The sequence below is a fragment of the Homo sapiens genome, chromosome 18 (assembly GCF_000001405.40).
Source record: "Homo sapiens chromosome 18, GRCh38.p14 Primary Assembly".
NCBI lineage: Eukaryota > Metazoa > Chordata > Mammalia > Primates > Hominidae > Homo > Homo sapiens.
Genome location: NC_000018.10, coordinates 51,938,976 through 51,959,992, shown reverse-complemented (window position 1 = coordinate 51,959,992; position 21,017 = coordinate 51,938,976). Strand labels below are relative to the sequence as shown.

Below are 21,017 nucleotides of genomic sequence, written 5' to 3'. Positions count from 1 at the left end.
AAACATGGAAGTTCGAATCTGGGAATTATTTCTTTTCACAAAGCTTTGACTACTTCAGTGACTCCTTCAGACTTAGTGGGGTATGCTTCAACCCATAGTGAGAAGGTGTCTACAAACACCAGAAGGAGCCTGCAATTTCCACTGGCCTTGGGCATTTGAGTAAAATCTAGTTGCTAATCTTTAAACAGGCACAGCCCATTGTACAGTACCCCTTTCTTAGGAGGATTGTGTTCGGTCTGAGGATTATTTTTATCACATCAAATGGGTCCCCATGTGATCTTCTGAACAGTTCTTCAGAGATATAGGCCCCTATCGTGTGGCTGCACAAGGTTGACTGACGCATACCCCCCATAGTGTGTTCTTTCATGCAGATGTTTGTAAACTGGGCACACTAGGGCTTCACAGAGTAGGACCATTCCAGGAGTGTTAGTTTTTCAAGACAAGTTAGAGTTTGCATTAGCAACTCCCCAGTCACAGGCTAATCCTTCATCTTGCTTGGTATAAAGAGGTTTCAAATCCAATAGGTCTAAGTGGATATTAAAGCCCCAAGCATTTGTGCTTCTCAAGCAGCCCATTTTGCAGCCTTGTCCACTGCTTGCTTTTCATTGATCACTTGGAAATCATCTTTTTGGTGTCCAGGGCAGTACATGATGGTGACCTAGGTAGGTGAGGATACTGCTTCTAACAGGGCCAGGATTTCCACTGGATATCTAATGTCCTTATTCTCTGATATTAAAAGGCTTCTCTCATTCCAGATAGCCACATGAGCATGCACCACCAAGAAGGCATATTTAGAGTCAGTGTAAACATTTATCCACCTTCCTTGGCACAGCTCTAAAGCCCCTGTTAAGAGCAATCAGTTCAGCTTTCTGAGCAAAGGACCTGGTCGGGCAGGCATAACCCTCTATTACCTTGACCATAGTCACCAAGGCATACCCAGCTCTATGTTGTTTGTTTTCCATGAAGATCTTCCCATCAGTGTATAGCTCCCAATATGGAACAATTATCATCTGATCTGACAAGTTCAGCCCGCTGGAATAAAACTCATCAAGCATCTCCAGGCAGTCATGCTCAGCCACTGGTTAGGCTCAGCAGCCAGGAGGAGGATTCAGAGCTACGGTGATTTGCAAGGCGATGTTTGAGTCATCTAAAAGGATGGCCTAATGTTTGTTCATTTGCCCCACAGTGAGCCAGTAACCTCCATTTTGCTCAAGCAAAGTTAGCACATCATGAGGCACAAGCATGGTGACTGGCTGTCCCATGGTAAACTTTTCTGCTTTGCAAGATCTTGCAAGTGTCAGCTATTGCCCAGAGACAGGAAGGACATCCCCTAATTGTTTGATCTAGTTGTTTTGAAAAATAGGATATAGGTTGGGAGCATATCCCTCGGTATTTTATAGATAAGCACTCCCAGTCCTGTGCCTTGTTTTTCATTGACATAGAGCTTAAAATGCTTTGGGGGACCTGGTAGACCCAAAGGTAGAGCTGATATTAGTTTTCTTTGATGATGTCAAATGCATGCTGGCATTCAGTTGTCCAGGGAAAGGACTCTGAGTCTAGTCTCTTTAAGGCTTCATAAAGGAGCTTATCCATTACTCCAAAATTAGGAATCCAGATCCAGCAGAAGCTGGCCATGCCCAAGAATCCTCGCAGCTGTCTCCTATTCTCAGGGGCTTTAATGGCAGCTATTACCTGTTTTCTGCCAGACATCAGACTCCTTTTGCCTTCTTTTCACTTGAATCCAAGATAGGTTTCTCTTTATTTACAGATTTGAGCCTTTGTGGGGACACTTTATATCTGCACATTGCCAGGTGGTTTAGAACTAGGAAGGTTTTGGACAGGCATTTATCATAGTTGGGACTGGCTTTCAGCAAGTCATCTATGTATTGCAGCAGAACTCCCTCATCTAATTGTATGCATCTCACATCATTTGCCAGTATATCCCCCAAAATAATGGGTGAACATTTGAATCCTTGAGGCAACACTGGCCAACAGTATTGGAAGGTTGTTTCTGTCTCTGGGCCTCTCCATTCAAAGGGAAATATCATCTGGCCCTTTTCTTCAATTGGAATGCAAAAAAAGGCATCTTTTCAGTATAACACTGAAAACCACTTAAGGCTCCTAAGTATAGCAGTTAATAAAGTGTATGGATTAGGCAAAGTCAGATGAATATCTTGGATGATTTTGTTAATAGCACTTAAGTCTTGAGCAAACCAATATTTGTTTGAGTGAGGTGTTTTTTCTTTCTTAAGATGGAGTTTTTCTTTTTTTTTTTCTTTTGCTCTTGTTGCCCAGGCTGGAGTGCAATGGCGTGATCTTGGCTCATCGCAACCTCTGCCTCCCAGGTTCAAGTGATTCTCCTGCCTCAGTCTCCTGAGCAGCTGGGATTACAGGCATACACCACCATGCCTGGCTAATTTTGTATTTTTAGTAGAGACCAGGTTTCTCCATGTTGGTCATGCTAGTCTTGAACTCCCAACCTCAGGTGATCTGCCCACCTCAGCTTCCCAAATTGCTGGGATTACAGGTTTGAGCCACTGCACCTGGCCAAGTGAGGCTTTCTTATAGGCAGAATGGTAGTGTTATACGGGGAGCTGCAAGGATGAATTCATCCATTTTCCAGAAACTTTTGTGAAACAGGCTGAATTCCTTCAAAGTCTTCCTTTTTCGAAAGATATTGTTTTTCCAAGGTATTTTAGTTCCCTCTTTTATTTCTATATATACCAGTTTTGCATTTTTAGCTCATCTGGGGTCTTGTCAGTCTCTTTTAGACCTCTAGGGGAAAGCTCTCTTTCTCTTTCTTCTCAGGGTAAGTGAGCAGCATCTGCACGTCACAGTGCATTCTCACCTGGGACCTGCAGGCGTAACTGCTATTTTTTCTAGGAAAAAAGTCACTCGAGTATTTCACTTACATAGCAGGTCTTGTCCCAGTTAGAGATATGGGGCATTCTGGCATATAGAGGAACCTGTGTGTCAATTACAGGTTTCCCAATTGACATTCTAAAGGCTGTCAGAAAGTTTTTTATTGTATTCTCCCTGTAACTCCTGTCACAGGTACAGTCACCTCTGTGCTTCTTCTTTCTGGGGTGTTAAGAACTGAATAAGTCACACCCCAGTTGACAAAAAAAAATCAATCCATTTCTTCCCCACTGTCTGTTGTACCCAGAACTACTGTGGGGAAATTTTAATTGGCTCTAGAGATTTAGGGGCGCCTCTGGGTATCCCTATCTACTGCCAGAGCCATAGCTCTGTTCCACCATTTGCCGATGGGCTTTTTCCTAAGTGAGCACCTCCTTTTTCTGGATGTTGAATCCCCTTTTTAGGGGGAGTCAGCCTTCTAATGATCCTCTTCCCTGCAATAGCCACAAAAATTGCAGCCCAGAGTCTCTCCCCAACTTTTGTTCTTCTTCTGACTTGGAGGTTTCCTGATTGTCTCCATATATACTGTGGCTGGTTTTTGCTTTTTCAGCTTCCTGCCATTGTATCTTTTGAAGGCAATTATCCTTTGAAAGCAATACCATCCATCTGAAAAAGGGTCATTCCTAGTGCAATCTCTGACTTTTCTGGCTTTCCCTTTATATCAAGGGTGCTCTGTGGTATGAAAGTCATGTTTGTCATCCTTGAGTTCTCAGGGTTCTTCATGTCTATATGAGTATATCTATGGAAGGCTTGGTAAATATGTTCCAAGAATTCAGAGGGGTCCTCATTTGCTTTTTGGGTGATTGCTTGAACTTCCTTTAGGTCTTCTGCTTTGGCAACCCCCTTCTTAGTCTTACCAGAATGCATGTTTAGTAATGTTCTAGTCAGGCTCTTTCCCCTCCTGCCTCCACCTTTTTTTTTTTTTTTTCCAGACAGAGTTTTGCTCTTGTTGCCTAGGCTGGAGTGCAATGGAACAGTCTCAGCTCACTGCAACCTCCACCTCCTGGGTTCAAGTGATTCTCCTGCCTCAGCCTCCAGAGCAGCTGGGATTACAGGGATGCACCACCATGCCCGGCTAATTTTTATATTTTTAGTAGAGATGGGGTTTCACCATGTTGGTCAGGCTGGTCTCGAACTTCTGACCTCAGGTGATCCACCCACCTCGGCCTCCCAAAGTGCTGGGATTACAATTGTGAGCCACCGCTCCCCCTTTTCATTGGGATCCCAATTAGGGTTCATGGCCAGAACTGCCCTTGGTGGGTTGAGAGTACCATTTGTGTTTGCTTTGTGGAGACACCAAGTCTCCTCATTTGCCTTATCTATGACTAGCTTTCTCTTGTCTGAGGTAGGAGCATAGTTAAAAGAGACCAAGCATCTGCCCAGATAGGCTGACGGGTGGCAAAGATAGATTCGATAAGATCAGTCATTTTCTGAGGGTTCTCTCTATAAGGGTGGGTTGGAGCTTTTCCACTTTAATACTTTGGACGTTGAGAAGGGGATGTAAATCCAGCTATATCCAATGGGTCCAAGATGCCCATGGGCATCCATCTAAGTGGGTATTTGCCTTGTTCTGGTCATGGTTTTACCCTGTTCAAAGTTGGTGCCCTGCCATGTCTCGGAGGGAAAGACCTTTCTAAATCCTTTATCATACTGAGGCGGAGGAGCAGCGCTTGCCCCCAGGTCTGGTGCCTCATAAGGCAATGCTGACGCAGCCGAGACAGCCACCAAAAGAACAGCTGCTGCTGTTGCAACCATGGGAGGGGGTTGCACAGTGGCCATGGGCACGACTGCTTGAGCAGCTCCTGGAGGAACCACTAGAGCCACTACAGCTGGGTCACTGCAAGCAGAGTGGCTGCTGGATCAGCTGCAGCCATAGCATCTGGGTCCATTGGAATGGCCAGATTTAAGGCAGTAAAAAGGCCTATCTCTTCCTCATCTCTTTCCTTTTGGGTCTGGCTGTCTGGTTGGGAAGGGCCCTTTTCCCTCCCTTTACACAGCCAGCAGTTGATGTCCCACCCTGGCCAGAGTCCTGATTATGCAACAGCATGAAAACCTGGAAATAAGGCATTTCCTCCCATTTTCCAGACTTCTGACAAAACAATTCTAACTGTATTTGAGTGCAGGATTGAGTACTTCTGTTTGGAGACCAACAGTACAATTGGACTTTATACAGAGTCCAAACAGTATTGTACTAAAAAAATCATTTTTCTCTTCCTCATGGGTTCATAGCTATAGGCCATCTAGTTACCCAAGATATCTCCCAGGAGACTCCCAGAATGGATTGACACTTTGCCACCCATCTTGGCCCTGTTTTTGTACCTGTACCAATTGTCTCTGTCAACCAAATCTACAATGACAACATCTGTTTTCTCTCTTACTTCTGCACCTGTACCAGTTGTCTTGTGTAACTAGATCACCAGAAGTCAGACGGATTCTCCTGAAATTTCACTTCCAGTTTATATAACATCATGCACAATGCCAATAGGCATGTTTGTGCAAATCTCACCACAGCTGACAGTCAAGGATGTCAAAGAATGAGCTCTCTGAGCAAGTTGGTGAGTGGCAATAACTAGCACAGCTTATTTTGATACCTTGACCTTTCCCCAAACTCAGGTTCTGCTGTATTCACCACCCTGGTAAACAGTAACAGAATGACAGCTAATAAAATGATGAACCAGGAAGACAAAAAGGGTTAAAGGATTGGAGTTGGGACTGTTCAAGGATTTAGCCCAGGTGTTTTCAGTCTTTTCCTCACATAAACAGCATTGAGAAACACAAGCAGAGAGACGGCCCTGCTTAGAAAAATCTGCCAAAGAGTTCTGATGCTTTCCTCCCCGACAAGGTCTGGCATAGTTGTAAGAAGTACTCTGGGGTCCCAGGAAGGACAACTGAACCAAAAGCCAGGGAGATGGAAGTCGTTCTCCTTCAAGGCCAGATTCCTGGATTGAGCAGAGGCTGTGTGAGTCACTTTCAAGTGAAAGAGAGAAATAGAGGATGAGAAAAAGAGAGATAAGGGCCCAAATATAGATGCCACACACATACAGCTATATGTTCAGACAGCCTGATCTCAAACTGATCCCCACCAAGGGGACTAGGTAAAAACTCTAAAGCCTCAGAAAGCCCCATGAGCAACTAAGTCCAAACAGAGGAGAGTCCAAGTGGTGCCACAGATGATGTACACACAGATGGTATCACAAGCAGCTAGGTCCAGAGCAGAGCCCAAGTGACACAACGCAGAGGAGACAGAGGGTTTCTGGATGCACTCTGGTTGACCTACCCAGTTCTGAAGTTCAGTGACTTTTCAGTTGTCACTTTCCTTGCACCAGCGAAGCATGGTAGACAGCTGGTGTCATGATGGGAAATGAAGGGAGATTCCCCAAGAAAAAAGCATCTCATCATCTCCTGGGAAAATCCCTAGAGCCCCAACCACAGGGTCAGCTAGCCACAAGCAGCTGGCATTTACGAGGGGCTTTTGCCCCACCTGGTAGCTTGAACAGTTAATTTCTGGAACACTGCCACAGCTAATTGCCTAGCTCATTGGAAACCAGGAAGACAGGCAAGTGGAATCAAAATGCACAGTCCTCACATGGGGCACCAAATTTGTAACCCCAAGCAAGTCTGCTGGCTCGCTGCTCAGAGGCCAAAAATATGAGAAGCAATGTATGGTGAAAAGAAAACTTTATTCAAAGTTAGCATCTGGGGAATGGCTAGGCTTATGCCCTGAAAAGAACATTCTAAACTTTAGGCTACAGAGAGGGATTTTATTTTATTTTTTATTAATTTTATTTATATTTTTAGTAGAGATGGGGTTTTACCATGTTGAGCAGGCTGGTCTCAAACTCCTGGCCTCAAGCGATTGCCCCACTTTGGCCTCCCAAAGTGTTGGAATTATAGGCATGAGCCACCATGCCCAGCGTGGAGAGAGGGATTTTAAAAGGGGAACTTGGAATGAGAGGCATGCAGGAGTGGTGCTGTGTACAAGGTCTGTGTGTCTTGTTCCAGTGGCTCTCTTAAGTCATGGTCCACCAAGAGTGCAGGCTGTGTCATCTTAACAATGGCCAGATTGTAGACTTATCACCTCAAGGTAATCTCTAGAATTTCACAGCTGGGTCTCCATGCCTAGTTTGTCTCAAGATTAGCCCCTGGAACTTGTAAGTAGGCATATAATCAGATATGCTAGCAGTGCAAGGGAGTGTCTGATGGGAATGAAGGGAAACCAAGAGTTTTAAAGTATGTTTCAAGGCTAAAAGCAAGAAAGAAACCAAAAATGCGTTTTGAAGTTAGGCTACTCAGTTACATGTGGGCTGTTAAAAAATCAGTTTCTGAGCCACATCTAGCCTGCAGACTACAGTTTTCTGACCCCTTCTAAATGCTTTTATGATTTTCCCTTTTATCCTTGATTTTCAGCCTTTTAACTATGAGATATATAAGTGTGTTTTACTTATACTTATTCTGCCTCAGGAGTACTAAACTTCTTGGACCTGAGGGTTGATGTCTTTGGTCAATTTTGGAAAATTCTTGGCTATTATAAGTTTAATTTTTTTCTGCCCCACTCTCTTCTCTCTTTCATTTCCCATATGTTATATTATTTAAAATATCCATGCATGTAGTGAGTTCTCTGCTCGGTAATTTGATTTATTTTATTTCTTTGTATTTCAGTTTGGTTATTTTTTATTAAACTTTGTGTTCACTGATCTTGTCTTTTGCTATGTCCAGTCTGCTGTTAAGTTCATCACATAAACTCTTTATGTCTTATATTTTTCAGCACTTATGTTTCCATTCAGTTCTTTTATCTAGTTTCCACTTCAATGAAATTTTCCATTTGTTTATGCAAATTGTTCACCACTTCCACTAGATATTTATAAACATATTTATTACAGTTATTTTAAAACCTTTGACTGCTAATTCCAACATCAGGGTCTTCTGTGGTTCTGCTTCTGTTGATTGTTTTATATGCTAGGTTATAGGTCTTATTTTTCTGCTTCTTTGTTTCTTGGTTACTTATTTTTATTTTTTTGTAAGCCAGACATTGTATGAAAAAAAAAAGAGCCTGGAAGGAATAATGTTTACCCCAAGATAAGATCATACAACTTTTTCTCTCAGACTGTAAGTATGAGGCTGATTCACTCTAATATCCAATTAAGCTGGGTTTCGTCTTGTTGCAGCTTTAGAATGATTCAGCCTACCACTGACTTCAAATGTTTTATGGTGAGAACAGAACTTTCCCTAAGCCGAGCTTAGGATCTGAACACCACTGGGATGATGTACTTATCTTTATGCTGCATAGTCAGCCACTAACCTTCTGAACTACAAGAGATCTCTCTCAGCTTTATAACTCAGCAATCAGCTTTTTTGGAGTCCCCGGGGAGTTCTCACTCCGAAGCCCTTGCCTGGATTTCAGTGCTTTGGGAAATCTCTCTACTCTGCTGCCCTATCCTTACCTTTCAGTAAAGACTGAATGCACCTTAGTGCAGCGGTTCTCTCTTAACTCTTCTTTTTCCAACCTTCATCTGGGTATTTCTGTTCTGTTAATAAGGCCCATGCAACTTGTGGAGGTGGGATCTCACCTCGCTCTCCTGTCTTATACCCTGCCTTTGAGTGTGGCACTATCTTACAGGCATAAAAGCCCTGTGCTCTTTGGGATAAGGCCAATCTTGCTCAGTTTTCTTCTGCCCTGTTTTGGTTACCTGCTGACTTTCATTTAGGGAAGGCACACTTTGCCTCAGAAATGCTCTGTTTTCCTCCTTTGCCACCAGCCCTCTGTGGGTTATTCTCATGCACTCAATTAAGGCATCATGGGAAATATTTGAAGATTGGATGCATATTTGCTTTATTAATGTGGATCCTTGGGGTTTCTATTCATTGTGCTTGCCCAGATGTGTGAATTTGAAGTGTGTCAAAAGTTAGGCTGGTTTCTCCTTAGCCCTACCTCTGGGGTCCTTAATTATCTTTCTTCCATGTCCCTAGAAATGAAAATAGCCATAAGACCCTTCTTTCCTAGAAAGCATTTATTTCTTCCTGAAACAAAGCTGATTTGTATTTTTTTTTTTTTTTTGAGATGGAGTCTCGCTCTGTTGTCCAGGTTGGAGTGCAGTGGCGCGCTCTCGGCTCACTGCAAGCTCCGCCTCCCAGGTTCATGCCATTCTCCTGCCTCAGCCTCCCGAATAGCTGGGACTACAGGCAGCCACCACCACGCCTGGCTAATTTTTTGTATTTTTAGTAGAGACGGGGTTTCACCATGTTAGTCAGGATGGTCTCGATCTCCTGACCTCGTGATCCCCCTGGCCTCGGCCTCCCAAAGTCCTGGGATTACAGGTGTGAGCCACCATGCCTGGCCAAAAATTATAATTTTTAAATTTTTCTTTAATTTTTTCTTACTATTAGGATATGTGATGGTCTCTTGCTCTTGGAAACTTTCTACATTCTAATCCGGGTAAAAATTCTGCTCAACCGTTCCTTAACCGTATAACCTTGAGCAAGTTATTTAAACACTATTACTTCAGCTTCCTATCCATAAAATGGGGATGATAACACTACCAATCTCATTTTTTATTGCTGACAAGAGCAAATACAAGTAAAACATCATGTGCTTAGTAGGTGGCAAGTACTCAATCATTAAAGATTACAACAAGCATTACACCAGACATTTTACTTAATTTGCATGCTGTTTCTTCAAAACTCACCAAAAAAATTGCAGAAAAGTTTTATCACCACCTTACAGATGAAGAAACTGAATCTCAGTGAGATAAGAACCTCGCTGAGAATATAAGTAGTTGACCTATTTGGGAATTTAACCTAGATTTTTCTTATGCACTTTTTACTACCTCACTCTGTCTTCTCATCAATTAATGAGCCAACTAGGGATCAACTAGGCCAGCTAGGCCATCTAAGACAAGTACCCCAAAGGCACAACGAGCTTAGAAATGTGGGCAATTTTTGGTGTCAAAAATGCTAATCTAGTAATACCATTCAGTCACAACTAACTCACAGTTTAATTTGAGAATAAGCTGGGTATTAGGAGATTTAACCAAAAGTAATAGGATCACAGGTAAGATGTGCTTTACCCAGTCTCCTCCCAAGCCTTAGGTCGTTTAGACTCCTAGCAAGATAAGATCAGACAACGTATCATTTTAAGGACCTCTCCTCTAACCAGCAAACTTTAAGGGTATGGTCTATATTACTTAGCTATTACCACAATAATGCTTCCTAAGCAAAAACCCCAAAACTCAGTGTCTGAAACCAAGCATTCACTCTTCATATACACGAGCCTATAGATTGGCTATGGTAGCTTGGTTTCAGTTTAGGTTTGGTCTGTGTGCCTCCTTCTTAGGCCCGGCTAGAGGAACAGCTACCTGGAGGAACCAACTGAGGAATGTTTTCATGGCTGAGATCAGAGGCCCCCAGAAGGCTGAGCAGAAACTGGAAAGTCTTTTAAAGCTTTGGCTCAAAACTGTCACTTTTGTCTATAGTTCATTGGCCAAAGCAAGTCACATGGCCAAACCCAAAATCAATGGGGTAAATATATGCCTCCCTCCCATAGAGGCCAGGTGAAGGGAGTAAATACTTAATGGGTACTAATGTAATTTGCCACACCCAAAGACTGATACTGTCCTTTAGAGTCAGATTTCAACATCAGAAATTATACAATTCTCCACATCTATCAGTAACTGAGGGAAAGAGAGTTGGGCTAACGTGAAACTGGCTCAATTGAAATCATAAGCCAGAATGGGAAAAACTTCCTTATAATCATCACCACTTAGTTCTTTTGACATTGCAAACCGTAGATATTCCCATGTTGGTAGGAGTTATTCGAGGAGTGTTACTGTCCTGTGTAGACTGATCATAGCTGTCCGTTTTTTGCATTTCACATGAGCTGAAGCCTTTTGAGTCAGAGGCCTTGGCTTGCAAAAATAGTAGGATAGGTATCCAACCTGGAGAATATCACAAATAATAAACTGCTGGATTCCATATTCTTTAACTTACATCTTCAGGAGATCATGTTTAGTAGATACAAAATTTAGTCATTTTCTAGGAGTAGGGCTGGAAGGGTGTATTTAGTGGCCACATAAAATACTCATCTCTTCACACTAAAACAGTACAACTGCAGTGACCCCTAGACCAATTCACCACCTGCCAACTTAAAATTGCTGATTAAAAAATAAAACAGAGTGTGGGAGAGAATTCTATAATTTCAACAGGAGAAAATTGTCATTTCATCGTTGACTGTTTGCTCAGTGAGGAGTAGCACTAAAATTTGATTTTTCCTATGAACTTCCTTTAGAAAACACCATTTCTAAAAATTGTATGCAAAGCCATAGATCATAAGGGCATACATAATGACTCTTTAAAGTTATATAATGTTTTTTCTTCTCTAGCAGATTGCTAAAAAGATAGTTTAGCTCATTAGTGACTGCCAAGATATCTCTGGGGTATTATAGCTGAGTATTATAACACAAACAGTTCCCATAATTTGAAATGAATTATTTGGAATATTTAAAGGTATCTCCTTACTGCAGATGCTTTATGGCACAATAAGACCTTAACTATACCTGACTAAATGCATTAGTAAATCAACATTATTGAAAAGTACTTGGGTGACATGAATTATTTTCCAAATTGCCACAGTGGCAAGAATGTGTATTTGGCTATAGCTGCAGAAAAAAAGGACAAATTGCAGGTCAGCAAGATTTCCAATGAGACTGCATTGTCTTGGGGGTTATTGAGAAATCCATGAGATGACAGGATAAAATTCAATGGAATGGAACAGCATTATGCATAAATGCAGAAAATGGTGACTCCAAATGTTTTCGTTATCTTTGACTTTTAGAGGTAGAAGAAACAGGGCTGAGAGGCAAACAACACAGAAAAATAAAGACCTTCAGCATGGCTTGTACTATATCATCTTCTGTTTTCTCTTAGTTTCTCTGTATGTTTGTCTTGGATGGAGAACTAGATTTTAAGCACATTAAAAGCCATGCCATACTAGTATAACAGTTATGTTAGCACTTACCCTATGTCGGGTGTGGCCCTACATGCTTTACAGAAATCAACTCAGTTAATTTCCACAATAACACCATAGAGTAGGTTTTTTATTTTTTCCATTTTACTGGATGAGAAAAACTAAGAAACAATGTGGTAAGTAAAACTTGCCCAGCATCACATACAGTGAGTAGCATAGCTAGGATTTGGATACAGACATTTTGATTCCATAGCCCATGATCCCAACCACCATGTTAGACAGTTTCCTACCCTCCTATACCCCCACTGCTCTTAGCTATATGCTGGACAAAGAGGATTTCCTGAATGTATTCCTCTTGATGAAATTCTTGCTAATAAAATAAATAAAAATGTATTTTTTGATTCATTTAGAAAATAAGGGTTTTATCTCATTTTCTTATGGTTTCTTCTATCACTACCTCAAAGTCTTCTATTACATGCAGATGCTCAAATATCCCCTATTCATGCTTGTCAGAAATGTTAGTTATGTTATACATATTATGCTTGGAGGATTGTCTTCAGGAGAATTCTGTGGCTGCATCCTGACTCAACAAAAAACAGTGCTTTAATAAATTAGCAATATCTGCCCTGGGTATAGAATCAGGGAATAGTAGAGACACACTAAGGTTATACGGTAAAATACTGTCCAACTCTCCCTCAGAATGTCCTGACCCCAAATGACACCCCCACTGATCTCCCTCCGATCCTTTCTGTTTGTACTTGCTCTATGTGTAACTTTGCATTGTAAGAACTCCAGGTTATTGCAGTGCAGTTTAGTAGAATGAATGAAAGCTTTAGAATTACCAGACTGCGGTTAAATCCTGTCTTTTATACTTGTATTAAAAAAAAATAGAAAGCTCAGCTCCCTATCCTCTATCTGAATAGTGTGTACAATGTCTCCCTCATGGTGTAATTACGATAAGTTAATGACATAAGGCAGAGGGCAGCAAACACTTTCTGTAAAGGGCCAGATAGCAAATATTTTAGGCTTCGTGGGCCATAGTTTGTGATCAGAACTAAGGGAATGTAAAAGCATATCTTTAGCAGTCAGGAGCGTTAATTTTCTTCAATGTTTAGAGATTCTTTTTCTTTTTTCAGTATAAAACATTGAAATAGTCAAATTACTATATTTAAAATACAGACATACCTCAGTGAGCTATAATAAATTATTATGGATAATTAATTCCTTAATATGAATGAGTATGTCAGGTAATAAGAGTAACAAATCTCACTGAAGTGAGAAGGACACATGCTGGTGTCCCCATCTCACAGGTGAAGAAACAAGACTCCAGAGAAAGCCAGGGGCAGAGCCTAGATAGGCTGTGAGGTCTCTGGAATCCTGAGGTGGTACTGGTCCTTCTCTCAAATCCCCATTTCCTAAGAGACAACCCAGTCATAGAGCCACTAACCTGCATTGTCTCTCCACCCCTACAAAAATGCCCGGGCCCCTCTCTTCTCTGACAGCAGAGGGAGAAATTCTAAAACAGTACAAAGACAAACATTCACTTCCCCTCCTGCCCTCTGGCCTATCCCCCCTACCCCACTATCATATCCCACTGTCTGCATAACAGGAGGCTTCAGGGCAGTTGCCTCAGACTTAAATTCCAGCTCTGCCCCTTACACAGGTGTAATCTTAGATAAGTTACTTTTCCTCCTGTTGCTCCATTTTCTCATCTATGAAATGTGGCCAACAATACCTTTGCCAGGAGATTGTGAGAACCGATAAATTAGTTTGTTTTCTGCTGCCATAACAAAGTAGCTGATACTGGGTAATTCATAAAAAGCAGATTTTTAAAATTCCCAGTTCTGGAGGCTGGGAAGTCCAAGATTACGACACAAGCAGGTTAGGTGTCTTCTGAGAGTCAGGTCTCTGCTTCCAAGGCAAAGCCCAAAGTGCTACATCCTCCAGAGGGGAGAAACACTGTGTCCTCACATGGCAGAAGGGCAAAAAGAGAAGAAACTCCCTCCATCAACCCCCCTTATAAGGGCACCTAATCCCATTCACAAAACAGGAGCCCTTGTGGCCTAATTACCTCTTAATGGCCCTAGCTCTTAATACCATCACATTAACAACATTTGAATCTTAGAGGGGACACATTCAAAGGATAGCAGATGAGGAATGTAAACACCTGCCTCTAGGCCTGGCACACAGGAAGTGCTCAATCAATAAATTCTAGTTTTCTTCCATTTCCCCAAATAAACCTCATAGGACTGGATTCACAATCTCTAGCCTTAAAGTCAGAGAAAGCCATTAAAGAGGAGTGTGAACAGGAAACAATTTGCAGCTTAAATTTCCTTTTAAATGATTAGCAAATAAGTGTTTTCTAACTCCATTATTAATATTGCCTTTGAAATAAAACTTGTCGCTTTAATGTGTTACATTGTGCAAAGATAGAACTGCTGCCCTCGAGGAGGAAAAAGGAGAAGTTACAGCAGATGATAAAGAGGAACACTGGGATGATGCTTAGGAGCTTTTCCTCCCCTCTGCCAATAAATAAAAGCTATTTTCTGTGTTTTCTCAATTCTAATCTTATATTTCTTGCCATTTTCACTGAGTTCCCAGAGGGGAGCCATCCTATTGTTGACATTTAATAATGCCAAACAATAATCGAGGGCTCATTAGGCCAGAGGAGGCCAGGAGAAGTGCTCAGCATTGGTGGCTGCCTCTGGGTAGGGTCCCATTCAAATCATTTTAGAGAGTGGGGGCTGATGCTATTTGTAAGGCTGTCATGAGAAAGAAACACCACCACCACCAATCCAACTATAAATAAAAGATGATGAAGACAATGACGGTGCTGCTTTGTGTAGACTAGGGAGGCTAAATGTGGGGGGAATTCAGAAATTGTACTTGACCTTGAAGGAAGGATAAGATTCAGATAAGCTAAAATGAGGTAGAGATGCATTCTGCATTGGCACTGAGTGGGTAAAATGTATGTCTTGCTTGAAGCACAGTGAGTGAACTACACAACTCACACCTCAAGTTTCCTTTTTCTAAGTTAAAAGGCTTTTTTGGTATAAAGAACAAGGGTCAAAATATGATTTTTCCCTACTTGCAGAGGTGAAAGCATATTACCTAAGAAAGTCTTTTGTCTTCCTTCCATTCAAAATCTTCACCAAGTGGTATCAACACACTTTAACCTAAACACTACCCTAATTCCCCTGTTCATCTTGACTGGAGTGGGATGGCTTAGCCACTGCCAGCCACAGAGCTACTATCTGTATATCCTGCATACATAGTAGCAGCAAATCACACTGGACCAAAACACTTAGGGAACTGGGGGCCCATGTTGGTATTTAGGAAGAAGGGCTCCCAGTAAACTGAATTTTCTGCTCAACTCAGAATTAACCAGTTCAATGATTGATACTGAAAATCCTTCAAATAATGACTAAATCCATTATCCTATCTCAATGGACAATCTAGTGAAGGAAAATAAACCCTTCCTTGGTGGTTTGGGAAGCTGTAGGTCCTTGGGTTTATCTTTGAGCACTAAGCCTCCTTGCCTCACACAAGAGAATGAAAAGGAGAAAGTGTGCTGGAAACTAGACAGTTTGAAAGCTGAGTCCACAACAATCTCAAGAAATCAAGGGAGACTTACTTATTCTTCTTTAAGCTAAATGGGTAATACCAATTTCTTTTCACGTGGCATGTCTCTTTCCCCAAAAAGGCAGTAAAAAAGAAAAAAATAGTTAATATCGTATTCATAAACTGAAGTATGGTTAATCACATTTTTACTATATGTTACAATCCTCTCAAATGTTAGCACTTTATTTTCTATGTATTCACCCTCAACATATGGTGTGCACAGTACATAGGAATAAATGTTGCATGTTATAGTAATATTTCACTTTATCTGAATATATGAGAATGAGAATGAGTTTTTTTCAGATAACACTAATCCTTTTTAATTGCAATAATTTAAAAAAAAAAGAAAAGAAAAAACTTGTTTTAGTGGATCCCTTAGTTCCCTGCCTTATAGAACAAACTTCACTTATGCCATAAAATAGTGTTGCCTTCCAGAGGCTTCTTGAGAGGAAGGGCTAGCCTCTCTATCACCTGTTGGCTATTTAAAATTTGCTAATCTATTGCAAAATGAGAAAGAAATCTAGCCAAGATTATTTGAATTAAATACAAGAATAAATAACTCTTAATAAAGGACCAGAAAAGATTGCATATGAATAGGGTAACTATATGTTTACTGCCCAACATATGTGAGTGAATGGAGGTGCCATCAATGAATATATCAAAGCTGTAAACCAGTACTGTTCCAGGCACACGGGGTCATACTATATGTATGGATAGTGCATATATATTGTCCCATAACATTTCTTTGAATTGCAATCTGACTCTTGACAATACTCTAGAGAGTTTATTTGTTCATCTCTCCATCCATTCATTCTAAGGGAAGGGACAATTACCACCTGAGTCCTGTCAATACACAAAGATTTGTACTAGGCACTGAAAGTACACAAAAATGGAAAATGGCAGGAAGGGGGAAAGAAAGCACTCAGGGAAAGAACATAGAAGTTTTCTAAAAGTTCAGACTTCCAGATATGAGTAAGTAAGGTATTTCTGTAGCTGGTTTATTTTCAACTTGTAATCAAATTTCTAGGTTGCTGAACTGATCCTAGGTATATGACTGTTAAAATTTACTAGAGGCCTTTGATTTACTTCCCCAGACACGCCAGTTAGCTAACACTTTGGAACTGATTCCAGGCTACAACAAGAATTCAATGGAGACAGTCTTAGCTGAAGGGAAATACAACAGCAGTGTTAACACTCAGCCACAAAATATTTGGGGGTGGGGGATGATCATCAGAATTCTACCCTTCATTCTTAGGAGGTTCACACTGTCTTGATAGGCACTGAACACCAGGGTCTTTGAGACAGAGGTCACGAAATTGAGTGTTTCAAGCCTCATTAAAGAGTATGACAATTATAGAAAAGAGAAATGTACTGAAAATAGGCCAGGACACTTATTCCCAGACACAAATGACTATGTAGTTACCTCAACCTGTTAAAAAATAATTACCGGCCAGGTGTGGTGGCTCACGCCTGTAATCCCAGCACTTTGGGAGGCCGAGATGGGTGGATCACGAGGTCAGGTGTTCGACACCAGCCTGGCCAACATAGTGAAACCCTGTCTTTACTAAAAATACAAAAAATTAGCTGGGCATGGTGGCAGGAGCCTATAATCCCAGCTACTTGGGAGGCTGAGGCACGAGAATCACTGGAACCTGGGAGGTGGATGCTGCAGTGAGCCGAGATCGCGCCATTTCATTCCAGCCCCAGTGACAGTGTGAGACTCCATCTCAAAAAAATAAAAATAAATAATTACTATCCAGGGAAAAGACTTTGATATGAAGAGCCTTAGTCCTCACACTCAACCCAGCTAATGTTTGCAGAGAGGGCAAGATGTGGAAAGGAGCCTGAGGAGAAGGCTCTGATTCAGAGTCAGTATTCACTCTGCTAAGAGTTCTCTGCCATGGCCCTGAGTGTCTGATTACCGTCTCCCCTGAAAGGGAAATTTGCCAGGCCCTCCTTCAGAAGCTCATTCCTGGAAATGCTGCCTTGGGCAGGTCTGAACTCAGTCACAGTCAGATGCCACAAGAGCCACAAAATTACAAGACAATTGAGGAACCCCTGATGATACCCTGAAGGTGCAATGCAGGCTCACTGCCTGACTGTGGTCACTTTGAATTGATTCCTTAAAATTTTTGCTAGAAAAAGATGCTAGACTAGATGGCTTCCAATATCCCTCCGTCTGCAGCCAAGGAGGTTCCTTGCCTATCTCACATGCTGAGGAGGATAAGAGGGGAGGCACCTGATGGCCAAGCAGGTTCTGACTCTCATCCTCTGTGACTCTCTCTTTCTCAATGCAAATTCTGGAGCTAGGATGGTTGCTTCTGCTACCATCTGTCATAGCCCCACTGACCATCACATAGAGAAATCCCCCTTCTTTTTGTTCAATTAAGATAGACTTGGAGTTTTAAAAGGGTACTTTTTCTGTGCAATGAAGATGAAAACGAACCTAAAAGAATGAAACACCCACAAAAGCAGAGAAACAGGTAGAACACTAGCTCCCAAACCAGACTGCCCATCAGAATAACCTGCAGAACTTATTTAAGTGCATATTTCCAGACCCCAAACCCAACCTATAAATTAAACTTTCCAGGGACAAAGCCCGTGAATTGGTATTTGTATTAAAATCCTCAGATGATGTTTATGCACCAGCCATCACCATCTTTGGACCAAACATGGGAACCACTGCTCTAGCTTTTTGATCCTATGTAACTTAGTTGAGCCAAATCATCAGTGATACAATTTTGTTTTGTGGTAGCAGGGAGTGTTCAAACCACATCACAAAGAGATGCATGAAATTGTAGATAAGTTGTTACAAGCCAAGTGCCCCCTCTCAGTAAATAATAAAACAAGTCATATCTCAAAATACATGTACTGATATTATGACCATTATTAACAGAAAATGATACACTTTTAACACAATTTATTTTATAGACAAAAATTTTACATATTGAAGAATTTGGTTATATAGCATCCCTGATTCTTAGATATCTGGCCTCAGCATGACTATTTTGACTATTCCTAAACTCATCATTCCAAAGATGTCTCTATCCACTGATAAATAGCTCACATTGATAACATTTTCTTTGTTAAATGGGGTCTATATAGCTCTCAAAATTTTTCTGTGTTGCTCTTGTTTCTGCCCTCTAGAGGAACCTAGAATGAGATGACTTCTCTGACAATATTTCTCAAATTTTTGAAGACTACAGACATGATGTAATTTATCTTTTTTAGCCATCCTGCTCCATCATAACTTTTCACATGAACTGCCGTCAGTCAAGTTATTCCTTGACCATCCCGAATTACTTTCAGCCTGATTACTGGGTTTTCCAAGTGCTCTGATCTTTAGGGATTTATTTGCAACATATATTCTTTACCTGTCTGTATTAGTCAGGAAAGTCTAGGCTATGGTAATATATAACCATGAAATCTCAGTGACTTAAAATAACAAAGTTTATTTTTTGCTCACACTGTTTATTCAACAAGGCCAGCAAAGGGCTCTCCTCTACACAGTCACTCAGAGGCCGAGGTTGAGGTTGGCTTCAGTACTTTGTAGCTGTACCTTGTAAAATAGGAGCCCTTCACAATCACCGCAACAGCATAAGAGAACTAGAGCATCTCACACCATTTCATAAGTGTGTTGCCCATAGCCTGTTGGCTGGGAGCAGTTAGACAGCCAGCTATTAGCAAATGGTCTAAGTAATGTGGGGTGAATATTAAGTAATAGGTGAACATGTATGTCATTTATCTTTCCCACCTTTTTGCAGCTGAAGTATAATAAACATACTTTCTATACAGATTTCCAAGACATTGATTAAAGTTTTGCACAAGACAGGGTCATGGACAGGATTTAAGAGCACTACTTCAGAGGCTTCTTAAACTTGACATAATTTCTTTTGGTTGACAATGTCATATGTTGATGGTATAAAAAGCAATATAGGCCGGGCCCAGAAAAAATAATCTAGGACTTCCAGTCTTCCTTTTCTTCATCTTATCCTCCCTAACTTCAAAGTTCACATAGAATGGTATCACACACAGAAGTTCCTCCAGCATCCAGAGAGAGCAACCAGCACGTAGACAACAAAACCCACCAAACATGAAGTTACTACACAGGCTGTGCCAAAACCACTAAGTATGTTCCTTGTAAAATGGAGAGTAAAGGCCACCTAGATACTTATGCACCCAAGATCACACGTACCACTCCTCTCTCTAGGCAGAAACATTAACTATACACAGGAATTGTCATCATAATCACCATCAATTCTATAGGATTCCCAACAGATCTTAGTTCAAGTAACATGGCTCCTAGAAGTGAGAGCTGGAAAAAGCTTGAGATATGGAGTAGTTTAACTCCTTAATTCCAAATCCTTATGTGTATATATAATACACGTACCGTCTTAGTCCATTTGTTTTGCTAAAAAGGAATACATGAGGCTGGTAATTTATGAAGAAAAGAGGTTTTTTTCACTCACAGTTCTTTAGACTATGCAAGATGCATGGCACCAGTGTCTTCTGGTGAGAGCTTCAGACTGCTTCAATTCATGGTAGAAGGAGGAAAAGAAGCCAATGTGTGCATAGATCACATGGTAAGAAAAGCAACAAGGGAGAGAGGAGGTGGTACCAGGCTCTTTTCAACAACCAGTTCTCACGGGAACTAAGAATGAGAACTCACTTACTCCCATAAGAATGAAACCAAGCCATTTATAAGGGATCTATCCCCACAATCCAAACATCTCCCACTAAACCCCACCTCCCACACTGGTGATCAAATTTCAACATGAGGCTTGGCACCAAACAAACCATGTCCAAACCATAGCCACAGCCATACACATACAGTTCACCCACATAGTTAGGCCCAGGGAAGTGGGATGACATAGCACATCGTGCAGCAGAACAAGCATCCACGTCTCCTCGTCTTTGTTGCCATTGTCTTCTTTGTTCTTTCACAGGTAATGGTGATACATTCACCAGGTAATTCTCTACTACCATCCTGCCTCTGCTCATGCTGTTTCTACTGTCTGGAAGGCTTCCCTTACACCTCTAAGATTAGATTCTACTTACTCTTAAAGTTTAACTGCAATCTGGCCAGTATCTTTCTATATTTATCATATTATGACCCCTGTATCCATTAGCACAATAAGGACTTACAACTGTGAAAAATGAAAGAAGGGAAAAAAATTTTGCAAGGGTCTGAGCAGACTCATTACAATTCTCACAAGCTAATACCTCAGGGTTATTTTCACTCCCTATTTTATTGCCATGGTGAGCCCAGGAGAAAGTCTCTGCCGCTATCAAGACTGGATAGCTCAAAAGCATGGTCTCACCAACTGTGTCCACACAAAGAAACAAACAAGAGAAACATATCATGAGTGCACCTGAGATCCAAACAGTGCCTCTCACTTTAAGGAAAGTATCACTTGGTAAGATGGATTTTGGAGTATTATTGCTACAAAACATTCTAGAAAGTGTATTGTATGCATTCTAAATTTTTTCTAATAATTTTGCCTAAAGTATTTATAGG

General features: G+C 41.2%; 4 annotated features.

Moving 5' to 3' along the window:
- Positions 6,214 to 6,483: an enhancer, noted in NCBI's record as "active region_13337". NCBI's record gives its function as "activates an Ori minimal core promoter by ATAC-STARR-seq in GM12878 lymphoblastoid cells {active_cell/tissue: GM12878}" and the evidence as "EXISTENCE:reporter gene assay evidence [ECO:0000049][PMID:35858748]".
- Positions 7,129 to 7,188: an enhancer, noted in NCBI's record as "active region_13336". NCBI's record gives its function as "activates an Ori minimal core promoter by ATAC-STARR-seq in GM12878 lymphoblastoid cells {active_cell/tissue: GM12878}" and the evidence as "EXISTENCE:reporter gene assay evidence [ECO:0000049][PMID:35858748]".
- Positions 7,219 to 7,268: an enhancer, noted in NCBI's record as "active region_13335". NCBI's record gives its function as "activates an Ori minimal core promoter by ATAC-STARR-seq in GM12878 lymphoblastoid cells {active_cell/tissue: GM12878}" and the evidence as "EXISTENCE:reporter gene assay evidence [ECO:0000049][PMID:35858748]".
- Positions 13,727 to 14,241: an enhancer, noted in NCBI's record as "NANOG hESC enhancer chr18:49472122-49472636 (GRCh37/hg19 assembly coordinates)". NCBI's record gives its function as "activates a minimal SCP1, AML or CMV promoter by ChIP-STARR-seq in primed H9 embryonic stem cells {active_cell/tissue: H9 hESC(primed)}" and the evidence as "EXISTENCE:reporter gene assay evidence [ECO:0000049][PMID:30033119]".